Here is a 22,283-nt window from a genome sequence, read left to right on the forward strand (position 1 = left end):
CCCGCCTTGGCCTCCCAAAGTTCTGGGATTACAGGCGTGAGCCACCGTGTCTGGCCCTGTTGATCTATTAATATATGACTGTCTCTCCTCTGACATCACACTGACTTGATTGCTATAACTCTGTATTAATCCTCAGTATCAGGTAGAGTGGGTTCTTATTTATTCTTCTCTGTCAAGCCTGTTTTAGCTATTCTATTCTAATATTGGTATCTATTCTAAGCCCTGTGCCTTTCCATATAAATTATAGGATACATTGTCCATGACTATCCGAAATATTGCTGCAGTTTTGATAGGAATTGTATTAAACCTATAGATAAATCGGAAGAGAATTGACATCTTCACTAGGTTGGGTCTTCCAATCCATGAAAAAGGTATGTGTCTCTTCATGTACTAGGTCTTTGATTTTCCTCCATTGGCATGTTGTCATTTTCAGTATACAAATTCTGTACACATTCTGTGAAGTGTAGGCTTAAGAATTTCATTTTTGGCCGGGTGCGGTGGCTCACGCCTATAATCCCAGCACTTTGGGAGGCTGAGACAGGCGGATCACAAGCTCAGGAGATCAAGACCATCCTGGCTAACACGGTGAAACCCCGTCTCTACTAAATATACAAAAAAAAAAATTAGCCGGGCGTGGTAGTGGGCACCTGTAGTCCCAGCTACTCAGGAGGCTGAGGCAGGAAAATGGCGTGAACCTGGGAGGCAGAGCTTGCCGTGAGCCAAGATCGCACCACTGCACTCCAGCCTGGACGACAGAGTGAGACTCTATCTCGAAAAAAAAAATAATAATAATAATAATTTCATTTTCTTGGCCGGGTGCAGTGGCTCATGCCTGTAATCCCAGCACTTTGGGAAGCTGAGGCGGGTGGATCACAAGGTCAGGAGTTTGAGACCAGCCTGGCCAATATGGTAAAACACCTGTCTCTACTAATAATACAAAAATTAGCTGGGCATGGTGATGCGTGCCTGTAGTCCCAGCTACTTGGGAGGCTGAGGCAGAAGAACTGCTTGAACCTGGGAGGCAGAGATTGCAGTGAGCCGAGATCGCACCACTGCACTCCAGCCTGGGCGACAGAGTGCCCAGGAGACTCTGTCTCCACACACACAAAAAAGAATTTCATTTTCTTTGGAGCTATTATCAATGGTATTGTGTTTGTGATTGTGGTGGCCACATATTTATGATGAACATATAGAAATGCAATCAATTTTTCTGTGTTGATCTTGTATCCTCCAGCTTTACTGGATTCACTAATTAGTTCTAGATTTTTTTTGTAGATTTCTTGGAATTTTCTATTTAGGCAATCATGTCATCTGTACAGACAGTTGTATTTCTTCCTGTCCCATCAGTGTGGCTTTTACGTCTTTCTCCTGCTTTACTGCCTCAGAACTTCCTGTACTGTGTTGGGTGAGGGCGGTGCAAGCAGACATCCTTGCCCCATTCCTCATCTGTGGAAGAGCACTCAGTCTTCCACCATTAAATTGATGTGAGCCAGAGGGATTTTGTAGATGCTTTTTATCAAGCTGAGATAATTTCCTGCTATTCCTGACTTGCTGAGAGCAGTTCCCTCATTTGTTAAACTTTGCTGCCCCTGAAATCAGAAACTTTGGGACCCACCAGTTTGTACCATACCCAGGACTGCTTTTCATTCACATCCTGCCCCTCACAGGATCCTGGAGGGCCCGGTGGGTAAGGGGTCCACAGCCTCCCGCTCAGGTTTTTGACTCGCAATCCTGTCCTCTACCCCACCGATCCCTCTCCCCTTGGCTGAGCCTTCTGTCCTGTGCCATGTTCCCGGCCCCTCAGGAAAAGGAACCCTGACAAACCAGTGTGGACCATTCACACATTCACATATCCACTCATTCATTCATTCATTCAGCAAGGCCTGCACCCTGTGGTACAGAAATCAAGGGCTGCAGACCTGCCCTTGAGAAATGCAGTCTAACACCCAAACTCCACCCGCCCCCGCGTCGGCCCCCGTCGCGCTGCATGAGACTTGCATCCCCTCTCCAGGGGGCTGGCCAGGGCTGGCTGAGGCTCCAGGAGTTGCTCTGCTCTACCATTTTCCTTTTCCAGGAAATGTGTATCCCAGACAGCCCCCAGCACCCACTCTTCTCCGGGCCGCCCTGCAGCAGGGTGGGAGCAGTGTGGTGGTCCTCAGGCCCCCATCTCACCCCCCTACACACACATACCACTAGAGCCTCTGGCCCACAGCAGGCAGAGGACAAGCCCCCTCACCCATCCCAGCTCCAGCCCTGACTCTGGAACCTTCTGCAGAGGCTCAGGCTCCCCCCATCTCCACATCCGCAGGATGGTACGCTATTGATGTTCTTGTGTGTGTTTTTTTTAATCAAGGGAACAATTTCTTTATATGCAAATCTCTTCAATAATATTATTATTATCAGTGTGGCCTCAGGCAGAGGCTCACAGAATTGGAGAGTTGCCGAGTTGATGGTTTTTTTCATAGCGACTCTGAGCATCATCAGGCCAGCTCCTGGGAGGACAGCGAGGCTCATTTTCCCCAGAACAATCCCAGCTGGAAAGATGATTGCAGGTATCAAGAGATACGGGGTGATTTCATCCTCATCTGAATATCTGTGAAACCACCCCTGCACCCTGCTCCTCCATCTCAGGTCACAGCCAAGGGTGGGCAGCCCTGACCAGTGGGCACTCCTTCCACGAGCATCTACTGAGCACCCACTGCCCGCATGTCACTTAGCGCCCAGGGCCAGGCGGGCAGCTGCTCACGGTCTGAAGAGGGAGGCAGGCAAGACAGTGTGGGTCCCCTGATCCCACAGACCCACGGCCTGTGGGAGCCCCCACCCAGACCTGGGAAGCCTGGCAGGGCCAGGACCAGGGTGAGGCACTGGCATGGGGTACAAATTTAAGGTGGTACAAAAAAAAATTGTGAAGCCAAATAATATTTTAATAGAATATTTTTGATAATCAAGATTAATGCAAAAAATCCATGATAAACACAAAATCAACATTTTAAAGAAAGGCAGGACACCTACGGGAAGGCTTCCCAGGGAGGAGACATTGTCACTGCAAGCAGAAGGAGAAGGATAAGCAGGACAGAAGCACGGGGAAGAGGTTTCCAGGGGTGAGAAGAAAGAGAGATGGCACTTTCCCACCCCAGGGGCTCCAGGGGCTCTGGAGGCTGGAGTTCCAGTCTGAACCTATGCATCTCCCCGAGCTCCCCCACCGCCCACCACTGCACCAAAGCCCCAGGCCCACCTCTGCTTCTCCTTCCTAAGCCCGTGGCTACTGCACACCCCTGCCCCCCACCCCACAGTCTGCACGGACTGGACAGAGGCTGGCCATGGGCCTCCCCTGCAGTGGAAGAGGCTGAGGCCTGGAGCCCTGAGGTCTGTCCAGGCCGTGGATACTGCACACAGACCACAGCTGTGAGCTGGCCTCGTCGGGGTTCAGAACAAAGCAGCAAGAGCCATTGGAAGGCGGAGGAGTCCTGGACAGAAATCCAAGGGTGAGGGACAAAGGTGGGACAAAGCATGAGTGTGTGGTGATTCATGGCAGAGAAGGGCATGTTCCTCCAGGCCTGGCTGAGGGGCGAGGCCAGCCACTCACTTGGAGAACACCAGCCTGCGTTCTAGCAGTGAGCCTTCTGGATACCCTCAGGGCATCCAAGGCCAGGCCAGGGCCTGCCCAGATGACCAGGCTGACATGAGGAGGCCCTGGCTCTCTGTTAGCAGATGGGGCTGGGTGACCACCCCTCCAGCCAGGGCTGGCCACCCCCAGGAGCAGTGTCTGAAGAGTTCACTCTATTTGTGTCTCTGGGCATTAAGCTACGTTATTCCTTGCCCAGCTGCTGGGGCCTGTGTTTCCAAGAAAGCAGCCTTTCCAACAGGGACTTTGACTGCTGAGAAGGTCTCTCCACCCCCACGGCTATCACCGGGGCATGCAGACCTGACTCTTCCTGCCCCAGGCCAGCGGCTGCTCCTCTCCCCTGTGAGGATTGGGGTACCCAGGCCTGCCTGACTGTGCATCCTGAGAAACTCAAAGCCACCACTGACTGTAGCCACCATGATCAGCTTTATATCTGATGATCTCGTTTGACTCATACCCTAACCCCATGAAGGAGTGACTGTTTCCAGAGAAGGAAACTAAGGCTCCGGAAGGTGACCTAAACTGCCACTGAGTGACAGATGAGGATCTGAATCCACAGAAGCTCTTCACCATGACATCATGTTGGTCCCAGCCTACAGCCATCATCTCCCAGACGATCCACCCCTGGAGAGTCATCCCTGGGCTAGAAAGAGAAAGCTGGAAGACAAGCAGCGCCAGGTCAACCTCTGGCCTCAAAATACAGAGCAGCTTCTCCAGGCAGCTTGGGACTTTGAGACATCTAAACTCGCTCCTAAGACAGGAAGTCTGAAAAGGAGCTGAGACCAGAGGCAAGAGTATAGCACAGAGCCTGGGTCCTGGCCCTGCAGAGGGGCTGGATGGGGCAGGGCCAGGGAGGTAGCAGGGAAACACAGCACAGCTGACCTGGGGCCTTGTATCTTGAGCCTAAGAGGCCAGAATGCTCATCGGGCACAGCCCAGGCTCTTCCTCTTGGAAGTCACTAGAAGCTGCCTCGACCCGGAGATAGGGAGCTGAAAGCCCAGGTCTAGTTTCATGCCCCCAACCAGCTAAGGGGAAAGGGTGCCTCACTTGGGAGCCCCACAAGTGGCTGCGGTTCTCCGACCTCACAAATTCAGCCTGTACCTATCTGTTCTCTCCCAGCCTCCACCCCAATCCCTGCCCTTTCTGGAACCTGCCAGAGGTTGGGACAAACAGCAGCACCAATGCTCTAGAGATCGCTCCAAGAAGCTGGGGAAGGTTTGGAGGGCGCAGCGGCAAGAGCCTAGAAAGGGACTCTGAAGCCACTAGAGACGGAGCCCTGGGGTTAGGAAGCCCGTGACCACTGCTGCACCAGTGGGACCAAGAATCCCACAGCCCAGACAAAGGTGCCTGTGGCTCTGCCTGTCTCCCCACACCATCGCTGCCTTGGGAAGAAAAAGCTTGCTCTCTTTAGATTGACGAGAGCAGACTGATCTTGTTCCTGAGCTTTTCCACGCATTTCTTTTTCCTTGTTGGTAATGAAAAAAAACAACAAAAGTCGACTCAGGGCTTAGCCCTCAAGGAAAAAGGCCTGGGGGAGTTAGTGTTTCACTGCCTTCCTTAGCTTTGTTATGACACTAGCAATCCATGTTCATTGATGAAAACTTAGAACCTTCAGAACAGACAGGAATAATTTTAAATTAAAATAGCTTCAAGGCCTGACACTCAAAGTTAACCACAGCTAATATTTTGGTTTTTTAAAAAAAAAAAATCTTTCTAAAGATAAATACAACTAGGGATCTCCTAGAGGGCCCCGGAGATCTGGCCTCCTTTCCAGGAGCCTGGGTTCCTCAGCTCTGAGTCAGGCTGGTATCTGACTTTTGCTGTCAGCGTCTGCATTGGTCTCGGGGAGGAGCTTTTGCATGAGGCCTGGGATGTGCCCTCACAGTGGCTGGTCCTGGGAAAGATGGTGGCGTGCCCTATTGACAGATGGGAATACCGAGGCCAGGAAACTTGCACCAAGTCAGTGAGAAAGGCAGAATTGGAATTAGAAAACCACATAGCTATTGAATGAATGAACTGTTTCTTGGCCTTTTGGCTAAGATCAAATGTAAAGGAATGAAAGGATGGATGAATGAATGAATGAATGAATGAATGAATGAATGAAGTGAGTGAATGAAGAATAATTATGCTGTACTCCATCCTGAAGCAGCTGACAATGTCTGTGAGAATGTGTTCCATGCCTTCTGTTCCCCTGTGTAGGGTAGAAACTCCTGCACAGGGTTGGTGCCAGTAACTAGTCATGCCAGTAACTAGTCATGCCAGTAACTAGTCATGCCAGTAACTAGTGACACCCAGGGAAGTCAGCTCACTGCTTGCAGCATCTGCTTCCTAGCAACTAACCAGGAGTTTCTGCCAAGCCCTGCCCATCCCACGGGTCTGTTGTGGATATGGAATGAAGGGGGCCTCCATAAAACTCATAGAAAGGTCAGGACAGCCTACAGAAGTCCAGGATAGCTCTTGGAGTCAAGAGGACCTCATGGCGGGGAGGAGTGGGGCAGAGATGGGCATGGGGCAGGCTTGCTCAAGGTCCCTGTGACCTTGGACATTCCTCCACCTGCTTCTCTGCATGGCATGGGCTGGGTCTGCATCTCTCCTCTTGTGTGAGCTGGGGCTCTCTGTCCTCTCGGTGCATACCATGTGGGAATCTGGCCCCAGTAATGACGCATACCTCCTGGCCTTGCACTGACCCCGTGCGACAGTACCCGCTCGCTGAGCCCCCACAGAACCCTTCGAGGTAGAAAACATTGTTGTCACAGACAAGGAACTTGAGGCACAGAGAGCTTAAGTAACTTAACCTGAGCTCACACCACATGGAAGTGAAGGATCTAGGATTTGCACCGTGCAGGCAGGCCCCGAGTCCACGTTCCCTGCTCCTCTGTGATACTTCTGCTGTCTATGGGTTAAAAACATTCACTTATGGGCCCCACTGGCTGGATGTAGCTCCCAGATCTGCTGGCTACAAGCTCTTGACCTCAGACAAGGAACCTTAACATCTCTATCTGTAAAATGGGGCAAAGCAGTCACTCCCTTATAAAGATGTGGTTGGGTTTTTAATGGAAATGGTGTAATGTAAAGCCCATCACATAGTAGGTGTTTGATAAATGGCGACCATGACCAGGATAAAGTGTAACCCAGAAGTGAGGCTGTCCTGGGAGGCCACATGCTGGCAACATATCCAGAAAAGGCTGGATAAGAAGCTTCCTGCACAGGTGGGCATTCTTGGAGGGGCATCTGCTGCCCGTGCCCAGCATGCTCCCCTGCCACCGACCAGGAGCTGAGTGGGGTCTCTCTGGGGCCCAGCAGAGGTTGACTTCCCTGTACCTGGGGAGGGCTCGTCAGCTCCACCCACAGCCCTTGCTACCCTCCCTTCTCTGGCACCTCGGCACCCTGCCCAGACCCCTCTGCCCACCTGTGGCTGCCACCCACACAGAAAGATGCAGATGTGTGTGGGCACAGCCCGTGCACAGCCACCTTGGCCTCAGGCTACAGCTGGCCCCAGCTCGTCCTCCTCCCTCCTTGATACAAACTTAACCAGAGCTTCATGAAAGGAACCGAGGCTAATAATTTAAGAAGTAATTTGTTATTAGTGTGGCACTGATGCACTGAGCTGACCGAAGTGCCTTTCAGCAGATTATTATTAAATATTAAGTCTGTTGATTCGAGGCAGAGCGGCACTCTGGTCGGTCCCTAGCAGCTGGGGACATGCATTTGTTTCGGTGATTTATGGAAATCAAGCCACTCCAGGGAGCCTCACAAATGTCGCTGTCCACTGTAACCCAGGTATCCTCCCAGCAGTCCCGGGGGTGGGTTATAGATGAGGGAGGGTCTGAGAAGTTAAGGAAGCTGCCCGAGGCTGCACAGCAGCTAGGTGAAAAAACCAGGATTCAAACTTGGATCTATCTGAGTCAAGTCTCTGCCACTTTGAAGCTGCATATGGAGCACACAGTAGGGACTCATCACATGTGCATTATTATTATTATCATCTTTCCCTCCCAAACGTCAGCTCCATAGCCATAGATCAGAATGTGGATTTTTTTTTTTAATTTACTAAAGTATGTCCAGCACTGTGAGCTCTTGTTTTTTTTTTTTTTTTTTTTGAGACTGAGTCTTGCTCTTGTCGCCCAGGCTAGAGTGCAATGTGCAATCTCAGCTCACTGCAACCTCTGCCTCCCGGGTTCAAGCAATTCTCCTGCCTCAGCCTCCCCCAAGTAGCTGGGATTATAGGCATCTGCCACCATGCCCGGCTAATTTTTGTATTTTTAGAAGAGACGGGGTTTCACCATGTTGGCCAGGCTGGTCTCAAACTCCTGACCTCAGGTGATCTGTATGCCTCGGCCTCCCAAAATGCTGAGATTACAGGCATGAGCCACCGCGCCTGGCCAGTAACCTCTTAATATGCTCAATAAATGTTAAGATGAAGGGATGGAAGCATGGATGGGAGGGAGGGAGGGAGGGAAGGAGGGAAGGTGGGAATAGTAAAGTCCCGGTGAGAGCAAAGAGTGACCTAAGAGTCACTTTTCCTGCCTTGTTGTCACTGTGCCTCCACCGAAGTCTCAGAGTCTGTGATGTTCTTACCTCTCCATGCCTCACGCTCTTCACCTGTAAAATGGGCTGAGTCATCACAGTGCCACCTCACAGACTCGCTGGGGGTTCCATGAGCAAATGCATGCAGACCTGCTGAGTGCTTTGCCAGGCAAGGTGGGCCTCAGTGTCAACCACCATCCTTACTCGAAAAACCTGCAGAGGGGACTCCTGAGCACCTCGTTCCCCAGACTCCGGGAGAGGAACCCCAAGTCCAGGAAGGAGATCTCCAGGAAGGAGATCAATTCTGGCCCACTACGGGTCTCAGACCAGAAGCAGGCCTGAGAGAAGTGTGCCCGGATCCCCTAGGCTGGGGGACCCAGAGGAGAGGAGCCTCCCTCTCGCCAGGTCCACTCCCAGCCCCTCCCTCTACCTCTTTGTTCCTTAAAGTCTTGAAGTTGAGCTGCCTCCAGAAGCGCAGAGCTTCTGAGAACAGCATCACTGAATAAACAGTCCTTCCATGCCGTGCCTGTGGTCCACAGAGCGGCTGAGACTTCAGAGGACTATGACGGGGCAGGTTGCCCTGTGAGCTGGTCAGGTGGTCCTGTTCCACTTCTCTGGGTGTCCATCTGGGGCGGCCACAGAACCTTTGGGCTGAATGTTGGCTTTTGAACAGATAGTAATTTTTTTCTAACGCACCTACAAAATGCCCCAAACTGCTGGCGTTCTTGAGGCTTCACACCATGCTAGTCCTTTAGATGTTCAATACCATGAAGGAAATGAAAGCAGTGGAAGAAAGGCAGAGAGGAAGGGGCAGGGGCGGCGAATGAGTGACAGAAAAGGAGGCAGGTGACTCCAGCGGTACCTGGAGGCTCCCGGGCCCACCCGAGCCCTAAGCTGCAGCCCTTGGGACGTCTCCATTGAGCCAGTCCTTCCTGTGTGGCCTTCGGATTCTTGGTGGAGGGGACATTCTTGCACACTAGTGCCCTCAAGTCAGGACTGCCACTCACCCTCCGAGGTGGCCATCTTCTCAGCTTCTTTCATTTCTTTCTATTTTTTTTTTAGAGACAGATTTCACTCTGTTGCCCAGACTGGAGTGCAGTGGTATAGTCACAGCACACCGCAGCCTCCTGGGCTCAAGTGATCCTCCCACCTCAGCCTCCCAAGTATCTGGGACTACAGGCACACACCCCTGTGCCCAGCTAATTTTTATTTTATGTTTGTTTTAGGGACGGGGCTCTTACCATGTTGCCCAGGTTGGTCTTGAACTCCTGGGCTCAATCAATCCTCCCATTTCGGCCCCCCGAGTTCAGCTTCTTTCTTTAATCCATCACTTAGGCCACAGATATTTACCAGTCAGGTATTGAAACTTACAAAAAGCATAGGGCTTGGCAACCTCCCTCTTCTCCCTGGAGTTGAAGGCAGTACCTGCCTCCCCATCAGCCTGGTAGTGACTGTTTACGATGGGTGCCCAATCGCTGATAGAAGAATGAATGAGTGGATGGATCAAGGGAGATTTAATCCATGCTGGAGAAGAAGAAAGAAAGGGAAGGAACACAGAAAGAGAAACAGGCCAGCAGGGCCCCACGTGCTGAATGTCAAAGGGTGGAATGGACCCTGGGGCCCCAAAGAGTTCAGGACAGAAGACTCTTATTGGACCAGTGCAGGTGGCGGCTTTTTGGGAAGGGTGGGATTTCATCTGGAACAAGAGATGGGAGGCCCAGGTGGGAGTTGAGGGTCCCAATAATTAGTACGTTGTTTTCCCTGCCTGAGTTCTGAACCTACTGAGAGAAACAAGAGTAAGGCAGTTGGAGGTACACTCCTGGGTTAATTCCTCCAGCGCTGTGGTGCCCGGGTGCTGGGCAGCAGTGGGGATGTGCCCAGGAGTCTCCCTCCAGCGTCCCCAGTCAGTCGGGGGGCACCCCTCCCCTGCTGCACGTGCCGGATGGGTCCCGAGCCTCCCTCCAGGGGCAGGCCCTTCCCTGCCGGGCTCCACTCCAGGCTCCACTGAGGTAGGGCACAGGCCGGCTGTGCCCTCTGCAGGCAGCTGACAGAAGAGAGGGAGGTGGGCCAGGGTTACCTGCCCTGCCCTCAAACTAAGGAATCAAGAGAGACCCTCCTGGCACCAAGCAGCTGGGGCTGAAGAAGGGCTGGGTCCTTACTCTTGACCTCTGATAGCTTTATCCCCAAAGAAGGAACTGCCAAGAGGGACCAAGGGCTACTCCGAAGGGAGGTAGAGGTGGGGTGTCCCTGCAGCAGGAAGCACGGAGTCACATCCTCTCCCTACTGAGTGTGTCAGAGAGGCTGGGGGTGTGGACAGTTGGGGTCTGGGGCTCCTGGACTTCTCCAGCTGGACTAGACATTAGAAAACGTCGGCCGGGCACGGTGGCTCACGCCTGTAATCCCAGCACTTTGGGAGGTCGAAGTGGGCAGATCACTTGAGGTCAGGAGTTTGAGACCAGCCTGGCCAACATGGTGAAACCCTGTCTCTACTAAAAATATAAAAATTAGCCGGGCATGGTGGTGTGCACCTGTAATCCCAGCTACTCGGGAGGCTGAGGCAGGAGAATCTCTTGAACCCTGGGAGGCAGAGGTTGCAGTAAGCCGCAGTCACACCACTGCACTCTAGCCTGGATGACAGAGCGAGACCTTGTCCCCCCAAAAAAAAATGAAAAGAAAAAAAGAAAACGTCCAGGCTTCTTCCCTTGAAGCCAGGAGCAGGGCCCTTCTGGATGCCGCATGGTCAAGCCTCATCTACTGTACCTGGAGCCTTCTCCTGACCCTGAACCCTGCCCTTGCCCAGCCTGGCTCTCCTGGGGGCTCATGGGACTCCTGAGGCCCCTCCCATCACCGGTCACCCCGCCCGCCAGGCCCCTGGCAGCCTCATATCTGCCAATACAAAGCCATACATCTTGGTGTGTGACAAATCACTTTTTAATTGCCTGAAGGAAGAAATCCATTAGTCTTTCCTTTCCGTGAGAAACATCATAACGTTCAGCAGAGCCCAGGCTGGCTGGAGGCCGAGGCTGGGGGCCGCGGGGCTATTTTTAGTTTGCGTCAACATCCCCCTCCAAGCATCCATTCTAGAAAGGGAGGAATTAAATCTTCCTGACACCCCGGGGCCACACGGGGAGAGCTTGCTGCAGACCCGGGGAGGAGAAGCCACTGTGGATGGAGTGTTATTTGTCCAAATGAATTTGTGTCACGTTTCACAAAAAATCTGCTTCCCTGTAAACAAGTGGCAGTCCTCACCCTCCTAGGCAGCTGAGGCCCAGCCCTGTGGGGTGGCACTACCTGCTCCCCACCTCCCCGGCCAGCCCACACCCTCTGTCTTTGTCTGGCATGTCCTCGGCGGCACGGGCTGTGGCCGCAGAAGGCCAGCAGCTGTCCAGGGTCACAGCAGTGGACGTTCGGGCCGAGGGGAGCTGAGGCCACGGCGGGGACTCCTCACTCCTCCTTCCTAAGACCACAGGGGGCAGAGTTGGGGCCTGGGGGGCTGCTGCTGGGTCAGTTTGGGGTTCCACTAGCAGTCCTCAACTTTAGAGAAAGGCCAGCGAAAGTGAGGTTTATGGCTTGTCCCTGAGGCTGCCTTGGGGCCAGAGGAAGTGGGTTTGCCTTTTGCCTGGTACAGATGACTCTGTCTCGATTTTGAAAAAGATGCAGAAAGAAGGAAAGAAAGTGGAGGGCAGAGGGAAGGGAAGAGGAGGGGAAGGGAGTGAAGGAGAGAGGAGGGGAGGGGAGGGCTAGGAAGATCCCATCCAAAAAAGGGGAGTCAAGGGAGATGGCTGGGATGTGGACACCACAGGCCGCCCGCCCCACCCCGGGCCAGCCACCCACAGGCCGTTGAGGCAGCAAGGCCGGCAGGTCCATGCCAGGGGTGAGAGCTGAGTCCAAAGGAGGAACTCAGTGAGTTTCAGTGAATGAATGAACGAATGACTCTGGTGACAAGGGGCTCTGATTGGCCAGCATGTGTCTTCTGAAGTCAGGCACCCCTGGCAGGGCCCCCGGTCCTCTGGGGCGATGCCTGCTGAGGGCTGGGAGCTCTTCCTTGGGCTGGGGAAGCTGCAGTGCCCAGGGAGTGCCGCCCGCCTCCACCCCCAGGTCTTTTCCTGAAGAAAGCCTGCTGGTGTGCAGGGGCAGGCTCAATCTTTACGTCAGACAGAGTATGTGGGCTCAGGACCTGCCCTGTGACATGGTCCTAAAGTAAAACTTGGAGGGGCTCTGGGACGTCTGGGCTGCGAGCATGGCCCAGTCACCCGCTAGAGATGGGCAAAGCTGCGCTTTCTCAGTGCAGCTTCTGTACCCGGGAAACCTCAGCACTTTCTTGGGTGCAGGACTGGAGACGAGTGGCCACTTGCAAGCTGGAGAAGACCTTGGAATATGTCACTGATGCAAACACAGGAGACTTGGCTGAAGACCACACCTCCTGAACCTCACCTGGCAGGTTTAATAGACAGCCACCTAGTATTGTCACCTCTCTGTGGCCACCACCCTGGGACACAACCTATGACCCCAGGAGGTGATACCTCAGCCAGTCCCTGTACTTTGAGACCCACAGGCACCTTTCAAAGAGGCTTCTACCCCACAGGAACCTGGGGCGCTGCCACAGGTGTGAAAATGTTTTAGCAAGGGAAGCCCACAGTGGGTGAGCTCCGGTCTTTTTGCTGTTGTTGTTTGAATCAGAACAAAATGCACTACACGATTATTTCTGTGCATGAAATGCAAGGTTGCCAAGTTTAGGTTCCACCTGATGCTAATAACCTTAATTGTAAATCCTTTATGTATAGACTTGGGCTATAACAACCTCCTCGTGGCATTAAACTAAACGCTGACAAAGGTAGAGTGGGCCAAGCATCCCTGGCAGCCCCCAGAGGTGACATGGCAGCCCCCAGAGGTGACATTCCAGCCCCCGTCATCGTGTGTATTAAGTGACAGGGCTCATAAAACCCCACAGCTCCTTTCCCCACCCCTTGCAGTCTGGCTCCCAGAGGGGCAGATAGTTGGAGATTCTCATGCAAAATAAATTGCTCTGCACTTTCATTAAAAAGTAACTGCAACTGACTCAGCACTTTCAGGGTGAGCGGCAGGGAGGGGCTTTGTGGCAAAATCAAAGGACGGGGAGGAGGTGCCTGCCCCTGGGTTCACTCTGCGTCCCTGCCGCTGCAGCCTGCCCTTTGCTGTGGGTTCGGTTTCTCTGCATCCTAGTCCCAAGTCTGTGACCATTGGGTGTCCTTAAACAGGCAGCTGGAGATCCCAGAATTTGGATCATGATTTTACTGGAGCTGGGCAGGCCTTGACAGGGGCTCTAGCCCAGGGTTCCCTATTCTGGAACAAAACTAGGACCGGGCAGGGCTGCTGGGGGCAGGGACGGGGCTGGGACACCGGCCCCTGGGTCCAGCGAGTGTGTGAAGGGCTGCCTCCATGGTGCACTGGGCTGAGGTGTGGACGCAGGGCTTTCTGCACGGCAGGCGCGACGCTCATTTAAATAGCAGATCCGACCAAGGCCTTCCCTCTGCTCCACCCGCGGAGTGCTGCCCCGCTGCCTGCAGCCTGAAGCCCTAACCCTCTAAAGAGTCCCCTGAGCTACTCCCAGGGATCCCAGCTGGCCAAGGTCTCACTGACCCCAGGCATCAACTCTGGTGGCTCCTGCCCCCATTGATCTCTCGTCCCCCTCCCTGCCCACATCTTCCTCGTCCCTCTGCCATCTCAAGACATCACCTGCTCCAGAGAGCGTCCTGGACCAAGCATGGTCAGGAAGCCCTCGGCTTAGGCAGGGGCTCCCTGTCCAGTCAGGTAGCAGCCTCTGAGCAGGCAGCAGGTGACATTCATCTGCAGCTGTGGGCTACAGCGGGCGCCTCCTCCCCCACAGCTGAGAAATGCAGCATTCGGAGCTCGCAGGCATGTGGCCTAAGCAGGAGGGACGCATTGCCCCACGGTTTATGGGGCGAAGCATGATTGAGTGGATGGGGCATCAGGGCTGTCTTTGGAAAGGACACCTTTCCTGTGATCCTTTGCCCGTCGGCAGCCAGTCCAAGCAAACACAGCCCCTGCTCCAGGCAGTCGGCAAAGTGGCCTCCCCCACACCATGAAGGACGCTTTGAGCCCCTGGGAGCAGCCAGCAGCCAGGTGCAGCCCCACCAGCTTCAGAGTGGGCAGGACAGAGAGGCCCCTGCCCGAGCAACAGCAGCAACACAGCCCTGGCTGCCAAGGTCCTAACAACCCTTCTCCAAAAGGCGTCTGTGCACAGCGGGGCTGACTCTCAGGCTGCCACCAGCTGGAATGGGGTGGGGCTGAGCCCACGAGGCTGCCAGACCCTGGGGACGCTGGTCCTCAAGGCCTCTCTGCTGAAGGGCATCGGGATACAGGAGCTGGGGCAGGATCTTCCCTAGAAGCTTCTCAGCCCGTCCTCACTGATGAATCTCTTCCCTTAAAATGAATTTAGGTCCTTTAGCCCCAGACAAATAGACACACTCTCTAGCCCCTGGAAGGAAATGAGATTTTAATTTGGGATGATTTTATTCAGCAAATGCCCCCAAACCATGCACTTTTCAAAGGGAAACTCCAGGTTCAGTCTCGCCTTTTGGGGATAGAAAAAAAGACTTTTTAAAATCTTTTTCATTCCCAGCTCAAACTGAGAAGGGAAAACCTGTTCCTCTCAAAGGGGTCTTTTCCTATTTTCTTCTACTTCAGAAAACAGTCTTTCCTCCTGTCTGACGTCGTGGCTCTAGGTTTTTCTCTGCTCTGTTCTTCATGGGCCCCTGCCTAATAAATGTGTTACGATCAGAGGCAAGTTTACCACGGAGCTAATGATGCTCAAGCTTGGAGCCCTCATTTGCACGTGCAGTGTTGTGCTGGTAGCTGTTGAACAACCAGCTCTCTAGGGGGAAAAGCCTGATCTGTGGCATTTGCCAATCTCCATAGTGCGAGTACTCCCACCACGGCCAATTCTCAGGCTACCAGCATGATGTCATTGAGTGCAAAGTTGAGAGGAAAGATGTATAATTGGCTGTGATGAGTCAGTGCAAGCAGACATCAGCAGGCCAGGTCACAGGCTGTCTCCAGGCCCCTGCAACTGAATACACAAGGAGTTATGTATTCTTTTCATTAAAAAAAAAATACCCAGGCTGGGTGCAGTGTAATCCCAGCACTTTGGGGGGCCACAGCGGGGGGATCACTTGAGCCCAGGAGTTTTGAGACCAGCCTGGGTAACATAGGAGACTTCGTCTCTACTAAAAAGAAATAAAATTAACCAGGTGTGATGGCAAGTGCTTGTAGTCCCAGCTACTAGGGAGACTGAGGCAGGAAAATTCTTGGGCTCAGGACGCTGAGGCGGCAGTGAGCCATGATCACACTGCTGCACTCCAGCCTGGATGACAGATCAAGACCAAGACCCTGTCTCTCAACAAAAAAAAATGAACAAACTATATAGACCTCAGACCCCAACAAACTGAGTCTGCCTCATTACGATGTAGGGGTGGGGGTTCTTAAAGAGGTAGGGCGTGTGACCAGCTGACCAGCTGCCTCTCCATTGGTGGCCCTGCCCCAGGCTATGCTTAGACCAGGCAGCATAGAGCTATCAGTGTGGGTGAACCCACCTTTCTACTTTGACACTGGAGGAGCATGGAGTTTCCTGGCTTCCGGTCATTTGAACTTCCTGAAAATGTACCCAAGCGCTGAACTACTAGCACCTTCTAGCATGTCCTGGCCAGAGGGGTCCCAGCCTGCTTTCCTTCCCTTTCATCCTCCCCATGGTTCAGAGTTCCCCTCGGAGATCACAGCCTCCAGATGCAAACAGCCTGCCACCCTCAGGGCCAGGGTTGCAAGCACAGAGCCCTCGGGCCTTCCAGTGTTTTATACATATTTGAACCCACATATAGAAATCTGGGAGTTTCACATGCAAACCCAGATGTATGACTTTTCTTGAAGAATCAGAAGACCTGACCTCCTGGCCCTAAATCCCCACATGGCTGCAACAGGCAGGACTGATGGACAGCCACAGCCTTGGGGGACAGGACGTGGGCCATCTGGCTTCCCAGGCCACACCCTCTCAGGCTATCTCCCCAGTGCTCAGGCTGAAGAGCAGTGGCCTTTTCTTATGGTGTCTGCACAGTGGTTTTTCTTAAAGAAATATTTCCCTCTACCCAGGTTTCTTCCAAAAGTGGGAAATGAAAGATAGTACAAGTGGGCCATGTGTTTCAAGAGAAAGCACGTAGCATATTTCTTTGTATGAGTGAAGAATGTTCCTCTTGGGGCTATTGCGCTGAACCATTCCAGGGGATATATCACTCCGAAGTTTGTGGGAATGGCGCCTCCTAGAGTTGTGCATTGCACAGCACATGCAGCCTGATTCCTCTGTTTCCTATGCAAACTGGAACAGTGTCAAAATAACTCCACTTAGGATGCTATCGTTCTCATACAGAATTGGCTACATCACACATGCATGGTGGAGTCTGCCCACCTCCAAGATCTCACAGAAATTCCAGCCAGGAATGATGAGGGCAGACATAGGAAGGCAGGGCCAGACGGCAGGGCCAACGTGGAAGGTGCCTGCAGAGACAGCATGAGAACTGCCTGATAGGCATCTCATGAGTCAGAGAACTAGCGGGCCAGGTAGAAGGTTGGCCTGAGTTGAGATTCAGGCAGGGGATCAAGCAGCGCCCTCTGCTGGGCTGTCCCTTACTTTTGCATGGATCACCTTGCAGACTTCTGTTCCTCCTTCAGAGCCCAGCTAGGATGCTGACTCCTCCAGGAAGCCTTACCTTCTAGGACGTTAGTCGTGCCCTGCCCTGGGCTTCCTCTGAACCCTGTACACACCCAACGTTGTACATCCTTCTCTGTGTGCTGTGATTCTGTTGCCATGATCTGGCCCCACTCCAAGAACAGTGCCTGGTTCATGATTGTGTACCTGGTAATGGGGACAGTGCTGGTGCATAAGTGCGACTCAATGAATAATTAATTAAATGCATGAATGAATGGAGAAATGGATGGATGGATGGGTGGATGGAAGACACGTAGGAATTCCAGCCCTGGGGACCCAGGCTGGGGCCCAGCATTAGAACTGGAGTACGGGCAGGGTTTAGTCAGGGTGAGCTCCTTTGGGGACCAGATTTTACCAGGAGAGAACCCTAACCTGGAGTCTCTCCATGAGCTCCTGGCTGAGTTTCTGAAATCCTGCCACCCCCCACCCAGGAAAGCAGCTCCTGCTGGGGAGAATAGAAGCTGGAAGGGTAGCAGTCCGGCATCCAGGCCCCAGCTCAGCTCCATGGCTGTGAGTTCAATAGATGTCTACACTTTCCAAGGACATGGGTAACTGGTGCAGGAAATGTTGTGCACATTCCTCTTTGCACGACAGCTGGATTCACCCCCCAAAACCGCCCACCTCTGTGTCTCAGGGACACCAACCTGGACGTATGGGCCTAATTGCTGGCCCTTCCAGAGTACAAGTGGAAACACGTGGGCCAGTTGAGGGTAAAAAATGCAGTAAGTTAAAGGCTTCTGAGAGATAGTTACATAGTCAAAAAAAAAGGTCAAGAAAACTATTGCCAAAACCTGAAACTCTGGTCCTTGATTAATTGACTCAATCATAGAGGCTTTGGCCTACCTCTCTGAAGTTGAATGAATTAGTTGATTAGTTGCACAAAGTTGCTGCACCAACAGGAGGAGGGAAGAGGTCATTGGTCTTTAGCTAATGGCACGTCCCAGCAAGTTGCTTACAACCTGCCCTGGGCACGTCGACCTGGAGAACTGGAGGTTGCAGGGTCCCTCCGCACACTGGCTGTTGCCAAAAAAGGGATGTGGGGGCTGTGCTGGGCAGGACAGAGTGACCTTCCTCGAGGCTCCAGCTGTACATGGCCCAGATTTTATGCCCTTCCTCCAGCCTCCTTTCTTTCTCCTGCACTCCTCCCTCCCTTCCTTTCTGGTTCCCTCCCTCCATGTCCTCACGTTTTGACGCTTTGGGATTTGTTTTCTGACCCTTGGCCTCACTGCATGGGCAAGCCCCCTGCCTGTTTCTCTCCTGCCTGGAGAAGGGAGAATGGGAAAATGATACCTCTAGACAGATCTCGTCCATGCTGCCTTGGCTTTGAGGAAAGAAATCACCACCCTTGTCATAATTATTGATGGGAACTGGATTTGCTGAGTTAGAGGTTGGGAGAAGGGTTGATATTATGGCCACAGGACTTGATTTGGTCAATAAAGCAAATTGGTTTAAGTGAAAATAAAGCAGCGCTCACAAGTATGTTAGAAGAATAAAGTAATTGCTGCCCAAGGTGCACGGAATATAAATCTCTGTTTGCTTGAAATTATTACAATGTCGTATTGATTACTTAGAACCTGCCATTGCCTTTTAAGTTATAGTTTATTAAAGGGTAATGTGTTTAACAAACATTTTCCCCGGCATGCACCATTGAAACACACAGAAGTTACACGGGCGCGTTCCCCCAAACCCCCACTGCAGCCTTTGGTTGTTCTGTGGTCACGTGATTAACTTTCCAGGCTCAGCTTGCAGGCACCAGGGTGGTCACCCACAGGGGTTCTGGTGAACTCAAGATCCTGCCAGAACCCTGGGAGAGGTGCATGGAAGGGCTCAGAATGCGCTGACCACACTGACGTGTTTTTTTGTTTACTGCTCTGCCTGGCCAACAAGATAAGTCCATGAAGTCACCAGCACCGTCCATGTTTCTCACTGCTTCCTCGGCGTTCCTCCAGAACCAAGCGTTACACCCCAACACAGGATGTGTGCCATAAATACTGGTTGCATGAATGGCTATTTTTTTTTAACTTCACTTTTTTCTTAATTAAAAATTTTTAATTACAAAGGCAAACAGGCTCATTATAACAAATGAATACAATTTTAAAATATTTTTCTAATTAGAAAAATTAGGCGTACTCATAGTAGAACATTTATAAGACATGGGAAAGTACTAAAAGGATAATAAAAACCACCTATAATCCCATCACCCAAAAATAACCTCTGTTTACATTTTGTTATATTTCCTGCCAGTTTGTTGTTGTTGTTGTTGTTGTTTTTTGCTATACTCATGCCTATGGGTATTTTTTCTTTTCACAAAGTTGATAATATAAGATGAGGTTTAGTGTTTTGCTTTTTTTTCACTTACCATTGTATAAAAGCATTTCCCCCGTCATTCACTGTTTCTCAAAACATATTTTTTTGTTTTTTTTGTTTGTTTGTTTTTTTGAGACAGAGTCTCACTTTGTTGCCTAGGCTGCAGTGCAGTGGCGTGATCTCGGCTCACTGCAACCTCTGCCTCCTGGGTTCAAGCAATTCTCCTGCCTCAGCCTCCTGAGTAGCTGGGATTACAGGTGTGTGCCTCCTGAGTAGCTGGGATTACAGGTGTGTGCCTCCTGAGTAGCTGGGATTACAGGTGTGTGCCTCCTGAGTAGCTGGGATTACAGGTGTGTGCCACCATACCTGGCTAATGTTTGTATTTTTAGTAGAGACGGGATTTCGCCATGTTGGCCAGACTGATCTTGAACTCCTGGCCTCAAGTGAATCTGCCCGCCTTGACCCCTCAAAGTGCTAGGATTACAGGTGTAAGCCACCACGCCTGGCCTAAAACACAGTGTGTGTGTGTGTGTGTGTGTGTGTGTGTGTGTGTGTGTGTTTGAGCCGGAGTCTTGCTCTGTCACACAGGCTGGAGTGCAGTGGCGCGATCTCGGCTCACTGCAAGCTCCACTTCCCGCATTCACGCCATTCTCCTGCCTCAGCCTCCCGAGTAGCTGGGACTACAGGCGCCCTCCACTACACCCGGCTAATTATTTTTGTATTTATTAGTGGAGACAGGGTTTCACCGTGTTAGCCAGGATGGTCTCGAACTCCTGACCTCGTAATCCGCCCACCTCGGCCTCCCAAAGTGCTGGGATTACAGGTGTGAAACACCACACCCAGCCTAAAACACAGTTTTTAATGGCTGCGTAATATCCCATCTTCTGGATATGCTGTAATTTAGTCATTTCCTGTTGGACATCTGTGATGCTTCCGGTGTTCAGCACTATAAATAATACTCTGATGAACATCCTTATAAATAAATTTTTCATCTCATCCCTGGGTATTATAAAAGGACAAGTTCTTAGCCCTTTTCCCATTTGCACTGAGAATAATCCCCAGCAGCACTTGTGGCTGCAGCATTTACCCCGAGATAGCTTTGACATGAAATATCTCGCTTTTATTATTATTTTCACATGGCTCTAGTATATCGACTTTGGAAACAAAAGACCTCATTCTATTTTTAGCATTCTGTGTTTAGTAGTGGTATTTCCATTTACAAAATATAGCAGTTCCCGAACGCTGAAAATGTCAAATCCTGGAAAACGCAGCATTTCTACATGTGATGTTAACATTGTTCTCAAACAGTTGTTGGCTAAAGACTCATTTGATGAATCCGAGTTTTCTGAAATAGACAATTCTGATGATTCAGATGATTCTGATGTTAGTTCTGTTTAGAAATAACTCCAAGAACAGTTTTTATATTTTATTTTCACATTGAAAATCAGTGAGATTTGCTTCATCCTCAAAGAGTGTGTTTATGTAAAATTAAATGAGTGCTGGCAGCGAGCAGAACTTTTTTTTTTTTTTCTGAACAGGAAAAGGGTTAAAGCAACAGCTCTTGGCAGATGTCATGGAAAGGGACAGATTCTGGGTGTGCAACCTGTGCCGTTGTGTTAAACCAAGCTTAGTTTAATGCCTTGCTGCCGTATTCTCAAAATTCTTAATAGTTCTTAAAAAAGGGATCCCACATTTTCATTTTGCACCAGGTCCCACAAATCATGTAGCCCATCTTGGTTGGTGTATTAGTCTGTTTTCATGCTGCTGATAAAGACATACCTGAGACTGGGAAGAAAAAGAGGCTTAATTGGACTTACAGTTCCACATGGCTGGGGAGGCCTCAGAATCATGGTGGGAAGCAAAAGGCACTTCTTACATGGCGGTGGCAAGAGAAAAATGAAGAAGATGCAAAAGCAGAAACCCCTGATAAACCTATCAGATTTCATGAGACTTTTTCACTACCACGAGAACAGTATGGGGGCAACCGCCCCATGATTCAAATTATCTCCCGCCAGGTCCCTCCCACAACATGTGGGAATTATGAGAGTACAATTCAAGATGAGATTTGGGTGGGGACACAGCCAAACCACATCAGTTGGGGAAGACTCTTTCCCACCGGTGTTGAGGAGTCAGGCCATCTCTAACCATTGAGGGTCTTTGTGCCAGGTCTCACCCTTCATCCCCATGAAAATCAAAGCTCAGAGCATGATCTCCTCTGTGCCCTGCTGCACTGAGCCTGAGAATTGTCGTACAAAGAGAACTTTCTATGCAGCTGAAGTTTACCCTTCAAACACTGAGTCCATTTAGTGTTGCTATAACATAACACCTGAGGCTGGGTAATGTAGAAAGAAAAGGGGTTTACTTGGCACAGGATTCTGGCAGCTGGAAGGTTCAAGACTGTGCAGCTGCATCTGGTGAGGGTCTCACGCAGCTTCCACTCATGGTGGAAGGTGGGAGGAGAGCCAGCCTGTGCCAAGATAACACGTGGCAAGAGAGGAAGCAAGAGAGAGAAACCGAAGAAGCCAGACTCTTTAACAACTCGCTTTCTCCGGAGCTATTTCATTCCCTCAGGAGGAAGAAATTACCCCTTCGGGAGAGAACTAATCTGTTCATGAGGGATCTGCCCTCATAACCCAGACATCTCCCACATGGCCCCACCCCCAACACTGCCACACTGGAAATCAAATTTCAGCATGGGTTTCGGCAGTGACAAACCATATCCAAACCATAGCAAACACCAAAACTTATATATTATCGTGGTCATTCATGCCTCATTTATATTGCTTTTTATTTGAACCATAACTTGCTTATGCCGTTATTTTTGTTTCTTCTTTGAATTTCCAATTCTCCCTTTCACTTTTTCTTAAATCTTGAAACAATCAGACATACTAAAAAGTTGGGAGTACAATTCAAAGAAACTTTTTTCTGAACCATTTGAAATTTGCCAGCCTGATGTCCCATCACCCCCCAAGTATTTTAGCATCTATGCAACAAAACATTTTCTCTGACAAAACCACATCAGAACTCTCAAATCAGGAAACAAACATTGATACATGTCTATCAACTAATCCT

The 22,283-nt window shown here is 51.1% G+C and overlaps 1 protein-coding gene across 24 annotated transcripts in view, besides 4 other annotated features; it reads left to right on the top strand.

Moving 5' to 3' along the window:
- CAMTA1 (calmodulin binding transcription activator 1) overlaps window positions 1–22,283 on the top strand; it is a 984,253-nt gene that overhangs the window by 737,657 nt on the left and 224,313 nt on the right. The gene's annotated exons all lie outside the window — the stretch shown is intronic.
- Window positions 4,025–4,225: a silencer, noted in NCBI's record as "peak35 fragment used in MPRA reporter construct". NCBI's record gives its function as "represses an SCP1 promoter by STARR-seq MPRAs in K562 erythroleukemia cells {active_cell/tissue: K562}" and the evidence as "EXISTENCE:reporter gene assay evidence [ECO:0000049][PMID:32103011]".
- Window positions 4,185–4,385: a silencer, noted in NCBI's record as "peak36 fragment used in MPRA reporter construct". NCBI's record gives its function as "represses an SCP1 promoter by STARR-seq MPRAs in K562 erythroleukemia cells {active_cell/tissue: K562}" and the evidence as "EXISTENCE:reporter gene assay evidence [ECO:0000049][PMID:32103011]".
- Window positions 10,857–11,836: an enhancer, noted in NCBI's record as "H3K27ac-H3K4me1 hESC enhancer chr1:7594027-7595006 (GRCh37/hg19 assembly coordinates)". NCBI's record gives its function as "activates a minimal SCP1, AML or CMV promoter by ChIP-STARR-seq in naive H9 embryonic stem cells {active_cell/tissue: H9 hESC(naive)}" and the evidence as "EXISTENCE:reporter gene assay evidence [ECO:0000049][PMID:30033119]".
- Window positions 15,108–15,813: an enhancer, noted in NCBI's record as "H3K27ac-H3K4me1 hESC enhancer chr1:7598278-7598983 (GRCh37/hg19 assembly coordinates)". NCBI's record gives its function as "activates a minimal SCP1, AML or CMV promoter by ChIP-STARR-seq in naive H9 embryonic stem cells {active_cell/tissue: H9 hESC(naive)}" and the evidence as "EXISTENCE:reporter gene assay evidence [ECO:0000049][PMID:30033119]".

The sequence above is a fragment of the Homo sapiens genome, chromosome 1 (assembly GCF_000001405.40).
Source record: "Homo sapiens chromosome 1, GRCh38.p14 Primary Assembly".
Taxonomy (NCBI): Eukaryota; Metazoa; Chordata; class Mammalia; order Primates; family Hominidae; genus Homo; species Homo sapiens.